This window comes from Homo sapiens, chromosome 10 (assembly GCF_000001405.40).
Source record: "Homo sapiens chromosome 10, GRCh38.p14 Primary Assembly".
Taxonomy (NCBI): domain Eukaryota; kingdom Metazoa; phylum Chordata; class Mammalia; order Primates; family Hominidae; genus Homo; species Homo sapiens.
Genome location: NC_000010.11, coordinates 13147269 through 13161288, shown reverse-complemented (window position 1 = coordinate 13161288; position 14020 = coordinate 13147269). Strand labels below are relative to the sequence as shown.

General features: G+C 41.9%; 2 pseudogenes; both read left to right on the top strand.

Moving 5' to 3' along the window:
* Positions 1472-1868, top strand: RPL36AP36 (ribosomal protein L36a pseudogene 36; annotated as a pseudogene).
* Positions 3046-4606, top strand: BTBD7P1 (BTB domain containing 7 pseudogene 1; annotated as a pseudogene).

Here is a 14020-nt window from a genome sequence, read left to right as displayed (position 1 = left end):
ACGCTCTGGGACCGACTGTTCCTTTGTCAGCCTTATGTCCATTCGAAATGTTTGGGCTCAGGACCAAACAGATCCGGTCCACTTTTACCCTGTCTGACCTTGGGGAAGTGACTTATCTCTCTGAGTTTCCCCTTCACCATCTGTGCAGTGAGGGAAAGGGTAGATGACATCTTTTACACTGAAACCACCATTTCCCGAGTAATTCCTGTTCCATAGATTTTGGGACTTCTAAGGGGCGTCAGGGCTGAAGAGAACTTATCAGCAGACCATATCTTTCACAGATTTTTTTTTCAGTAAAATTCAGGCCTCTTTATGTATTTACATTCTAAAAAATAGTGTTTGTACATAATACTAAGAACATAGTTTCTAAATGCAGAATAACATTTAGCTTTTACATAATTTCAAGGGATTGATAGCAGAAGAGACTTTGATGGACCAAATGGCCACTTTAAGTCTTTCCCCCCTTTTCCTCCTTGCAGACACTGTTCAGGCACTGCAGTTCCCCCACTAATAATCCCTTTGGTATAAGATCCTATCTCTATCCACTACGTACTTTCATTTTCAGAACAATTAAAATCGACTTTAGGAAGACTGAAGATAAACAGTCCTGATGCCATCTACGTTGACTTTTTTCTGTGTCCTAATGGAATATTACTGCTCCATTTATGAGCTCAGCCCTATTACTTAAACCTATATTGGCTCAGGAATAGGAATACAACCATTTCTGAGAGCTGCTAGTGTTAAAAATTCATAGTAATGGAGGAACTCTAGTAATCAAATTGAAAAAGTATGTTTAAATGCGTACTTTTAAACATACGGCACTAAGGCCGGGCACGGTGGCTCACCCCTGTAATCCCAGCACTTTGGGAGGCCGAGGTGGGTGGATCACGAGGTTAGGAGTTCGAGACCAGCCTGGCCAACATGGTGAAACCCCATCTCTACTAAAAACACACACAACACAAAAATTAGCTGGGCGTAGTGGTGCGCGTCTGTAATCCCAGCTACTTGGGAGGCTGAGGCGGAGAATCGCTTGAACCTGGGAGGTGGCGATTGCAGTGATGAGCCGAGATCTCGCCACTGCACTCCAGCCTGGCGACAGAGCCAGACTCTGTCTAAATAAATAAATAAATAAATAAATAAATAAATAAATAAATGCATCACTACATCTAGTTATTAAAAAAAAAAGATTCGTCATAGATTTATTCTTAGCCATTATGCAGAAATTCCTTGACTAATTCTGATCAGTACTCTGAAGTTCTTTTCTTCACCTTCACTTTCCAGGTCCTCTTTGCATCCAGTTCCGGGCAAGGAGTCAGAAACAGAACCAACCTAAGCCCGCAAACCTTCCTTAAGTGAAGAATCAAGCACTTTTTATTGGAATTAGTATAGTGGTGACTTTGAGAAAAGAAGTGGAGGTGATTTTGAGAAACAATTAGGCAAATAGATTTTTTAAAATCCATTGAATGTGGCTTTTCCGTGCCGATAGCGCTCACACAAACATTACGAAGTTTCCTAAAACCCGCCAGACTTTCTATAAGAAGTGTGGCAAGCACCAACCCCACAAAGTGACACTGTACACGAAGGAGAAGGATTCTCTGTATGCCCAGGGAAAGCGGCGTTATGACAGGAAGCAGAGTGGCTATCGTGGGCAAATTAAGCCGATTTTCCAGGAAAGGGCTAAAACTACAGAAAATTGTGCCAAGGCTTGAGTGCGTTGAGCCCAGCTGCAGCTCTAAGAGAGTGCTGGCTATTAAAATATGCTAGCATTTTGAACTGGGAGGAGGTAAGAAGAGAAACGGCCAAGTGATCCAGTTCTAAGTGTCATGTTTTCTTTTATTATGAAGACAATAAAATCTTGAGTTTATATTTTTAAAACATCCATTGAATGTGGAGATATTAGCGAGAAGGAAGCAGAGAGGGGATGGGGAGACAGGTTTAGGATGACTGTTAGGTTTCTGATTTATACAATAGGGTCGTTTTTGAGGTTGTGCACTGAAGTAGGAGACATAGGAAGAACGGAACAGGTTTAGGGGAGAAGATAGATTTAGTTTTCTATTTCAGAATGAGATGTATGAGAGATGCTGATTAAGAAAGGCACGGTAGCCAGCTTGATCTCCAGATCTGGGGTTCTAAGGAGAGGCCTGGACTCTCCTTAGAATACAAACGAAGGCCAAAAAAGAACAGCTCTGACAGTTATCAACATCTATCTAAAATGAAATCTAAAGCAAACAGCCCATATTGCAGTGGTCCTTAACCTTTTTTGGGCGGTAGGAGGATGTTTATCACAGACCCCTTTAATGTATTAAAAGTGGGCCGGGCACGGTGGCTCATGTCTGTAATCCCAGGACTTTGGGAGGCCGAAGCTGGCAGATCACCTGAGGTCAGGAGTTCGAGACCAGTCTGGCCAACATGGTGAAACCTCATCTCTACTAAAAAAAATGCAAAAATGAACCGGAAGTATTGGCGCATGCTTGTAATCCCAGCTACGCGGGAGGCTGAGGCAGTAGAATCGCTTGAACCCGGAAGACGGAGGTTGCAGTGGGCCGAGATCGGCCACTGCACTCCAGCCTAGGCAACAAGAGCAAAACTCCGCCTCAAAAAAACAAAAAACAAAAAAAAACACAAAAAGTCCAAGCCGAGCCCTTCCTGCTCCCTCTAGGAATCAAAATGGCGGCGAGGGAAAACTGGAGCAGTCCCGGAGCCTGAGCCACTGACAGGAGAGGAGAGGGCGGCGGCGGCGGTGGGAGGAGGATGGCGGCGGTGTGCTGGCGCCGGTGCCTGCCGCGGTGCTGGTGGCGGAGGCGGCGGGGGCGACGGCCGAGGTCCCTGCGGCAGCAGCAGCAGCGGCGGCGGGAGGAGCCTCCAGGTCGATTGAACTGTGGATGAGGAACCTACGGAATACGAAGGGCAGACTGTATAGTAAACACTTGAGGATGCTTGCTGTGTGGTTCTTACAGAATGCACTGTCCGTGTGTCTGGCTGCCCACAGCCTTTCATACTTCAATAGTATGCACTAAAGTAAGGTCTAATGGCCCTGTTCTCATAGAAATAGATGGAAAGAGGCTGCTGGATCCAGGGTTGAAGGTTCCTAATGGCCTCTAGGATTATACTCTGAAGAACCCGCAGACGGAATGCCTGAATGACTGAAGAAAATGGGTGCTAATGCATCTCATTATCCTCATCCATGTTCCGCGAAGGTAGGGGGAAATTCACAGGCCCAACAGACTTTTATAGGGACGTCATCCTATTCTCAGCAAGGCTATGGTTGTGAATCAAAATTGTATAGCCTTGACCATGGCCATGAGAAACCACAAGACAAAAAAAAGAGGCCGGGCACGGTGGCTCACGCCTGTAATCCCAGCACTTTGGGAGGCCGAGACGGGCGGATCACGACGTCAGGAGATCGAGACCATCCTGGCTAATATGGTGAAACCCTGTCTCTACTAAAAAATACAAAAAATTAGCCGGGCGTGGTGGCGGGCGCCTGTAGTCCCAGCTACTCGGGAGGCTGAGGCAGGAGAATGGCGGGAACCTGGGAGGCAGAGCTTGCAGTGAGCCGAGATCGAGCCACTGCACTCCAGCCTGGGCGACAAAGCCAGACTGTCTCAAAAAAAAAAAAAAAAAAAAAAAAAAAAAAAGACCTCTGGCCCTGCTACCTTCAAAAAGAACTTAATTAAGCCTCGAAAATCTGATAGGTCTGCCGATCATGCCAAGCAGATGCGAGAACTCCTCTCTGGGTGGGATATTAGAGATGTCAATGCATTAGCGGAGGAATATGAGGGAAGGTCAGCATTAAAGAAGCTTTCCCTACAAGCCAGTTTGGCTAGACCGGAAGCCCGGACATTGCAGAAAGATATGGCTGATCTTTATGAGTACAAGTATCGTACTGATACAGATTTCATATTTCAAGAAACTTGTTATCCTGTTCATCGTGCCATTTTGGCAGCAAGGTGTCCATTTTTTAAATGCTTTCTTCCTCACCTGAGTATGGGGCAGAGATAATAATGGACATCAATACAGCTGGTATTGATATGCCCATGTTTTCTGCTTTGTTATACTATCTTTATACAGGAGAGTTTGGAATGGAAGACTCAGGGTTTCAAAATGTCGTTATCCTTGTTCAGCTTAGTGAAGAATTCCCTTGATGTAGATATGCGTGGACTCTTTGATTACATGTGTTATTACGATGTCGTCCTTAGCTTTTCTTCAGACTCTGAACTGGTTGAAGCTTTTGGTGGACATCAGAACTGTTTAGATGAAGAGCTCAAAGCCCACAAGGCTGTTATTTCTGCACGGTCCCCATTTTTTCAAAATTTATTACAAAGGAGAATACCAACTGTTGAAGAAATCACAGATGGAACTTTGAGGACTCCCACAAGAATTATATTAGATGAGTCCATTATACCACAAAAATATGCAAAAGTGATATTACACTGTATGTATACCGACGCGGTGGACCTCTCTGTTTGGCACTGTAGCCCCTCTGTGGGGAGTCTCAGTGAAGTTCAGGCTCTCGTCGCAGGGAAGCCAAACATGACCAGGGCAGGAAAAGCCATGGAACTTTACCACACAGCACCGTTCTTGGAATTTAACATGCTTGCACAAGGTATGAAGTTCTGATTTTAAATTTTGATTTCTAGAATTATGTATTTATCTTCCAAACTGAAAATACAACTAGCATAGTCTATGATTTCAGTGTTTGGGATGTTACAGGGTCAGTTTTTTTGAACCTTCAGTTATGACATCTGAGACAGATTGAGCATCAGTATTAATGTGGTTCTTTACTATGAAAATCAAGCACTCAATACTATAAAATATTTTATATATCTATCTCTATATATATCTCTATCTATATCTATATATAGATAGATAAATTTATATATATCTATATATCTTTTTTATTTTATTATTATTATACTTTAAGTTTTAGGGTACATGTGCACAACGTGCAGGTTTGTTACATATGTACACATGTGCCATGTTGGTGTGCTGCACCCATTAACTCGTCATTTAGCATTAGGTATATCTCCTAATGCTATCCCTCCCCCGTCCCCCCTCCCCCAACCCCACAACATTCCTGGTGTGTGATGCTCCCCTTCCTGTGTCCATGTGTTCTCATTGTTCAATTCCCACCTATGAGTGAGAACATGTGGTGTTTGGTTTTTTGTCCTTGGGATAGTTTGCTGAGAATGATGGTTTCCAATTTCATCCATGTCCCTACAAAGGACATGATCTCATCATTTTTTATGGCTGCATAGTATTCCATGGTGTATATGTGCCACATTTTCTTAATCCAGACTATCGTTGTTGGACATTTAGGTTGGTTCCAAGTCTTTGCTATTGTGAATAGTGCCGCTATAAACATACGTGTACATGTGTCTTTATAGCAGCATGATTTATAATCCTTCAGGTATATACCCAGTAATGGGATGGCTGGGTCAAATGGTATTTCTAATTCTAGATCCCTGAGGAATCGCCACACTGACTTCCACAATGGTTGAACTAGTTTACAGTCCCACCAACAGTGTAAAAGTGTTCCTATTTCTCCACATCCTCTCCAACACCTGTTGTTTCATGACTTTTTAATGATTGCCATTCTAACTGGTGTGAGATGGTATCTCATTGTGGTTTTGATTTGCATTTCTCTGATGGCCAGTGATGATGAGCATTTTTTCATGTGTTTTTTGGCTGCATAAATGTCTTCTTTTGAGAAGTGTCTGTTCATATCCTTTGCCCACTTTTTGATGGGGTTGTTTGTTTTTTTCTTGTAAATTTGTTTGAGTTCATTGTAGATTCTGGATATTAGCCCTTTGTCAGATGAGTAGGTTGCAAAAATTTTCTCCCATTCTGTAGGTTGCCTGTTCACTCTGATGGTAGTTTCTTTTGCTGTGCAGAAGCTCTTTAGTTTAATTAGATCCCATTTGTCAATTTTGGCTTTTGTTGCCATTGCTTTTGGTGTTTTAGACATGAAGTCCTTGCCCATGCCTGTGTCCTGAATGGTATTGCCTAGGTTTTCTTCTAGGGTTTTTATGGTTTTAGGTCTAACATGTAAGTCTTTAATCCATCTTGAATTAATTTTTGTATAAGGTGTAAGGAAGGGATCCAGTTTCAGCTTTCTACATATGGCTAGCCAGTTTTCCCAGCACCATTTATTAAATAGGGAATCCTTTCCCCATTGCTTGCTTTTGTCAGGTTTGTCAAAGATCAGATAGTTGTAGATACGCGGCATTATTTCTGAGGGCTCTGTTCTGTTCCATTGGTCTATATCTCTGTTTTGGTACCAGTATCAGGCTGTTTTGGTTACTGTAGCCTTGTAGTATAGTTTGAAATCAGGTAGCGTGATGCCTCCAGCTTTGTTCTTTTGGCTTAGGATTGACTTGGTGATGCGGGCTCTTTTTTGGTTCCATATGAACTTTACAGTAGTTTTTTCCAATTCTGTGAAGAAAGTCATTGGTAGCTTGATGGGGATGGCATTGAATCTATAAATTACCTTGAGCAGTATGGCCATTTTCACGATATTGATTCTTCGTACCCATGAGCATGGAATGTTCTTCCATTTGTTTGTATCCTCTTTTATTTCATTGAGCAGTGGTTTGTAGTTCTCTTTGAAGAGGTCCTTCGCATCCCTTGTAAGTTGGATTCCTAGGTATTTTATTCTCTTTGAAGCAATTGTGAATGGGAGTTCACTCGTGATTTGGCTCTCTGTTTGTCTGTTATTGGTGTATAAGAATGCTTGTGATTTTTGTACATTGATTTTGTATCCTGAGACTTTGCTGAAGTTGCTTATCAGCTTGAGGAGATTTTGGGCTGAGACGATGGGTTTTCTAGATATACAATCATGTCATTTGCAAACAGGGACAATTTGACTTCCTCTTTTCCTAATTGAATACCCTTTATTTCTTTCTCCTGACTGATTGCCCTGGCCAGAACTTCCAACACTATTTTGAATAGGAGTAGTGAGAGAGGGCATCCCTGTCTTATGCCAGTTTTCAATGGGAATGCTTCCAGTTTTTGCCCATTCAGTATGATACTGGCTGTGGGTTTGTCATAAATAACTTATTATTTTGAGATACGTCCCATCAATACCTAGTTTATTGAGAGTTTTTAGCATGAAGGGCTGTTGAATTTTGTCGAAGGCCTTTTCTGCATGTATTGAGATAATCATGTGGTTTTTGTCTTTGGCTCCACTTATTCATCTGCCTAATGGGGACAGTAATAGTTATTTCATAGGCCATCATGAGGATTAGATGAGAAAAATTTGGAAATATGCAATAGTGTGCCTGGCACCTGTAAGCATTAAATGTGTGTTAATTTATGTTCTCATTGCTCCATCGGGCACTGTTTAGGGAGATTAAGCTAACAAAGGCAGGTGCTCAGGAACTGAAAACACAACAGACTGGAGGCAGAGAAAGGAAGAGACAAATGGAAAATGTATTGGGGAAAGCCTATCTGCTTTGGTAACTGACCAAAGGAAAGTTACCTTGGGTAGGAAAAGGAGAGGACAGTGGGCAGGTTGGCAATGCCCAGGAGACTGGCAGAACCATGGAAATAGATGAGGAGTCTGAAAGAGCAGCTTACTGTGGATCAGACGGGGATGATGAGTTCAGTCCCAGGCTGTGGTGTGGAGATTTCCTCCTTCAGGTTTGTGACTGAAGCCAGGGGGATCTGGGTTTCAAATGTAGGTCTGGGGAGTGGGTTTAGAGAACATTGCTGAGGCCGGTGCAGTGGCTCACGCCTGTAATCCCAGCACTTTGACAGGCCGAGGCGGGCAGATCGCTTGAGGTCAGGAGTTCAAGTCCAGTCTGGCTAACATGGTGAAACCCCATTTCTACTAAAAATACAAAAAATTAGCTGGGCGTGGTGGTATGCGCCTGTAGTCCCAGCTACTTGGGAGGCTGAGGCAGGAGAATCACTTGAACCTGGGAACTGAGACCGTGCCATTGCACTCCAGCTTGGGCAATAAAAGCGAAATTCCATCTCAAAAAAAAAGAGAACGTAGTTGAGTTCTCCAAGTAGACATTGCAGAGTATCTTTGAGTGTGTTTCCTTAGCTAAGGCACCAGATCGTGAAAACAATGATTCCATCATTAGGCCCAGCAGGAGGCAATGCTATTCAGAGCCAGGCCCACTGGGAGTAATAGCCTGGTTTCTGCAACACACCCCACTGCCACCATCTCTCCTAGGCCCGTTTATGTCTGACTTCACATCTTCCATGCTGGATGGTGCAGAAATCTCTAGAGTCTTATCCCAAACTTGAATTTGTCCAGCTGACTGGACAAACACCTATATCTCTGCTTAGAAATAAGTGGCCTTCTTGAGAAAGAAGAAAACCCAGCCTCTTTAATTTTCATAACAGAATATTGTCTTTCTTGCCCAAATAGATGTCTATTGCTCTTCAGCCAACCTGGAGTTTACTTCCATCAGTTACCCTGACTGATGTTTTGCAAAGGGAAGCCCATAAAGAGTCTAGTCACCCTTAGAGGCAACATGTTTCCTATTCAGATCTTTTAAAAGGCCAGACTCTCGGTTCATCTGTTCAGGATCAGAAAAAGACCTGGAAAGGGAAGGGGATTCTCTACAGAATATAAATTACCCCACAGGAGACAGCTTTGCAGGGCCACTTCAAAATATGTCAAAGAAATATATTTTGGGGTAAAATACTTAAGTTTCTGTCCAGGCCTGCTGTCATGTGATGCTATACTAGATTCAGGTTGGAATCTCGTATCTTATTGCTACAAAGAGTCTGTTTCATCGGTCATAAGATCTCTGCTTCCCATCATGGCCTAAACTAGTTTTTCAGGTTTACTTTGGAATCCAGTTGGCCAAGAGGAGGTTTCATCCAGCTGGTTGGGGGGCTTAGTATTTTATTTTTGGTTTATGACTTAAAAGCTGCAACTAGGCCAGACACAGTGGCTCCCGCCTGTAATCCCAGCACTTTGGGAGGCTGAGGCAGGTGGGTCACCTGAGGTCAAGAGTTTGAGACCAGCCTGACCAACATGGTGAAACCCTGTCTCTACTAAAAATACAAAAATTAGCTGGACATGGCCAGGCGCGGTGGCTCACGCCTGTAATCCCAGCACTTTGGGAGGCTGAGGTGGGTGGATCACGAGGTCAGGAGATCGATACCATCCTGGCTAACATGGTGAAACCCCGTTTCTACTAAAAATACAAAAAAAAAAAAGAAAAAAAGAAAAAAAATTAGCTGCACATGGTGGTGCATGCCTGTAATCCCAACTACTGAGGAGGCTGAGGCAGGAGAATCACTTGAACCTGGAAGGTGGAGGTTGCAGTGAGCTGAGATCGCGCCACTGCACTCCAGCCTGGGCGACAGAGAGAGACTCTGTCTCAAAAAAAAAAAAAATAAGCTGCAACTAGGTGTCATATCCATTTTCCCCCACTGAATTAATGATGGCATAATAAATTTAATATTTCATTAAAAATAATTCAAGTTAGCCCTTTCCTTATGGGTCACATGGAAGTGTTAACTAATATTTACAACAACCTTGATTTTCTGATGCAAACATAAATTTTAGGTGTGTTCATATTAAATAATCTTATAGTTCAAAGTTTTTTCATTTAAAAAAATAATAGACTTTATTTTTTTTAGAGCAGCTTCAGGATTACAGAGAAATCAGCTGGAAAGAACAGAGAGTCCCCAAATAGCCCCTTCCAAACACACAGTTTCCCTTCCTACTAACATCTGGCATTCATGTGGGACATTTGTTACAATTGATACATCAATATTGATACATTATTAGTAATGACAGTCCATAGTTCATTAGGGTTCACTCTTTATGTTGTACAGTTCTATGGGTTTTGACAATGGTGTCCACCATTACAGTATCCTACAGTGTAGTTTCACTGCCCTAAAAGTCTCCCATACTCTAACTCTTCACGCCTCCCTCCCCGCAATCCTTGGCAACCACTACCATCTCCATAGTTTTGCTTTTTGCATTGTCAGATGGTTGGAATCATACAGAAATCATACTTTTTCAGAATAGCTTCTTTCACTTAGCAATCTGCATTTTAAAAAGTGCAAGGAATTCCACCCCAAAATATGACTCCTTGGCATAATAAGCATTTTGAATTAAAAGTCCTTATAGATCGATAGGACTTGGAAGAGACTTTTCTCCTAGCTACACAAAGACCTGACAGATCCACCAAGAAGAACAATGGTTTTTTCCTGCCATGTTATTTCATTGTCTATTGCAGGAATGATGATCAAGAATGTAACCAGACTTGGCCCAACCTTTTTACAAAATAATGTCTGTCTCTCAGGCTCATTCATTTTCCAGAGAGAACCAATTACAAATCAGTCTCTGTTCCCCTATCTATTCATCCCCCTAAGTATCCACTCATTCTCTCTAGTAATCATTTACTGCCCCTCAACAGAATTACCCATACTCCCTATCCCCACCTCCCTTTTGGCATGAGGTTATGTAAGTCTTTGGGCCCCACTGGGATATTGGGTAATCACTCTGTGATTCTCTCCACATGCATGGTTAAATAAATTTGTATGCTTTTCCTTTATTTTTATTTATTTATTTATTTTATTTTATTTTTTGAGATGGAGTTTCACTCTTATTGCCCAGGCTGGAGTGCAATGGCGCGATCTTGGCTCACCGCAACCTCTGCCTCCCAGGTTCAAGCAATTCTCCTGCCTCAGCCTCCTGAATAGCTGGGATTACAGGCATGCGCCACCATGCCCGACTAATTTTGAATTTTTAGTAGAGACGGGGTTTCTCCATGTTGGTCAGGCTGGTCTCGAACTCCCGACATCAGGTGATCCGCCCACCTCGGCCTCCCAAAGTGCTGGGATTACAGGCGTAAGCCACCTCACCCGGCTTGCCTTTTATTAATCTGCTTTATGCTGAGTTGATTTTTTCAGCGAATCTTTCGAGGGCGAAGGGGAAGCTTTCCCTTCACCCCAACACATGTAAGTCTCCTCCATGTTTTCTCATGTCCTGCTAACTAATTTATTTTTATTGCTGAATAATATTCCTTTTTATGGATGCACTGTGGTTTGGTTATCCATTCACCTACTGAAGGACATCTTAGTTGCTTCCAAGTTTTGGCCAGTATGAATAAAGCTGCTATAAATATTCATGTGCAGGTTTTGTGTGGACATAGTTTCCAACTGATTTCAGTGAATACCAAGGAGAATGATTGATGGATTATATGGTAAGAGTATGCTTGGTTTTTTTAAAGAAACTGCCAAATTTTCTTCTATAGTAGGTGGCTGTACCATTTTGCATATCCACCAGCAATAAATGAGAATTCCAGTTGCTCCACATCTTCATCATTTAGTCTTGTTGATGTTTTGAACTTTAGCCATTCTAATAGGTGTGTGGTGGTATCTTATTGTTGTTTTAATTAGCAATTCCCTAATGACATACGATGTTGAGCATCTTTGTCATATGCTTATTTTCCAACTGTACATCTTCTTTGGTGAGGTATCTGTTCAGATCTTTTGACCATTTTTATTTATTTTTTTGAGATAGGGTTTTGCTCTGTTGCCCAGGCTGGAGTGCAGTGGCAATTATAGCTCATGGCAACCTCAAATTCCTGGGCTCAAATGCTTCTCCCACCTCAGTCCAGAGTAGCTGGGACTACAGGCATGCACCACCACACCTTGCTAATTTTTTTATTTTTAGTAAAGATGGGGGTCTCCCTATGTTGCTCAGGCTGGTCTTGAACTCCTGGCCTGAAGTTTTCCTCCCATCTTGACCTCTCAAAGTACTAGGATTACAGGTGCGAGCCACTGTACCTGGCTGCACATTTTAAAATTGAGTTTTCTTACTGTTGAGTTTTAAGAATTATTTGTATACTTTGGATACCAGTCTTTTATTAGATATGTATCCTGTAAAGATTTTCACGTAGTCTGTGGCTTGTGCTAGTTTTTGTAAAAGATGCAAGGACTATGTCTAGGTTCTTTTTTATTTGTTTGCATGTGGATGTCCAGTTATGCCAGAAACATTTATTGAAAAGCCTTTCTCCACTGAATTGGATTTGCTCCTTTGTCAAAGATTAGTTGACTATATTCACGTGGGTCTGTTTCTCAGCTCTCAATTCTTGTCCACTGATCTATTTGCCTGTCCTTTTGGCAATGCCACACTGTCTTGATAACTGTAGCTTTATAGTAAGTCTTTAAGCCAGTGGTGTCACTTTCCCAAATTTATTTTCCTTCAATACTGTGTTGGCTATTTTAGGTCTCTTGCTTTTCCATATAAACTTTAGAATCAGTTTGTTGATACCCACAAAATAACTTGCTGAGATTTTGACTGGAATTACATTGAATCTATAGACCAAGCTGGAGGAACTGACATCTTGAATATATTGAGTCTTCCTATCTATGAACATGGAATATCTCTCCAGTTAATAGATTTTATTTGGTTTATTTATTTTCTTTTTTTTTTTTTGAGACAGAGTTTTGCTCTTGTTGCCCAGGCTGGAGTGCAGTGGTGCAATCTCGGCTCACTGCAACTTCCACCTCCTGGATTCAAGCGATTCTCCTGCCTCAGCCTCCCAAGTAGCTGGGATTACAAGCGCCTGCCACCATGCCCGGCTAATTTTTGTATATTTAGTAGAGACGGCGTTTCATCATGTTGGCCAGGCTGGTTTCCAACTCTTGACTTCAGGTGACCTGCCCGCCTCAGACTCCGAAAGTGCTGGGATTACAGGCATGAGTCACCACGCCCAGCCTATTTGATTTATTTCATCAGAGTTTTGTAGTTTTCCTCATACAGATCTTAAATGAATACTTTGGAATACCAAAGTGTTCCATTTTTTGGTGCTAATGTTAGTAGTACTATGTTTTTATATATCAAGGGGCAATGATTCATTGTTGGTATACTGGTATTGGTGATTTGTACCTTGTCTCTTTTTCTTAGTTAACCTGGCTAGAAGTTCATCAATTTTATTGATTTATTTCAGATAACCAGCTTCTGGTTTCTCTGTTGATTTCCTTGTTTGTTTCATTAATTTATGCTCTAATTTTTATTATTTCTTTTCTCCTGCTTATTTTGTTCTTTGCTATTCTTTCCTAGTTTCCTAGGTGGAAGCTTATATTACTGATTTTAGTCTTTCTTCTTTTCTATATATTCAATACTACAAATTTCCCTCAAAACACTGTTTTCTCTGAATCCCACACATTTTAATAGGTTATATTTTCATTTAGCTTACAATATTGCTTGAGACTTCTTCCTTAAACCATGTATTGTTTGTAGGTGTATATATATATATATATGTATATATATATATATATTTTTTTAGACAGACTCTTGCTCTGTTGCCCAGGCTGGAGTGCAGTGGTGCAATCTTGGCTCATTGCAACCTCTGCCTCCCAGGTTCAAGCAATTCTGCTGCTCAGCCTCCCAAGTAGCTGGGACTACAGGTGCACACCGCCACACCCAGCTAATTTTTTTTTGTATTTTAGTAGACAGGGTTTCACTGTGTTGTCCAGGCTGGTCTCAAACTCCTGAACTCAGGCAATCTGCCTGCTCAGCCTCCCAAAGTGCTAAGGATTACAGGTGTGAGCCACCATGCCCAGCCTATAGGTGTATTGTTTAATCTCCATGTATTTTTGGAGTTTCCAGCTCTCTTTCTGTTATTGATTTCTCATTTAATTACATTTTGATGTGACAGCATACTTTGATTTCCATTGTTTTAAATTTGTTAAGCTGCATTTTATGGCCCAGAATGTGGCCTATCTTGGTGAATATTCTATACGAGCATGAGAATAATGTAAATTCTGCTATATGCAGGGTATGAAGTATTCTATAGGTGTCAATTAGATCTAGTAGACTGATGGTGTTTAATATAGTTTGGATACCTGTCCCCTCCAAATTCCATGTTGAAATTTGATCCCTAGTGCTGGAGGTGGGGCCTAGTGGGAGTGTCTGGGTCATGGGGGTGGATCCCTCATCAATGGCTTGGTGCCATCCTCATGGTAAGGAGTTCTGACTCTAATAGTTTCTGGGAAAACTGATTGTTAAAAAGAGCCTGGCACCTAGCTCCCTTCT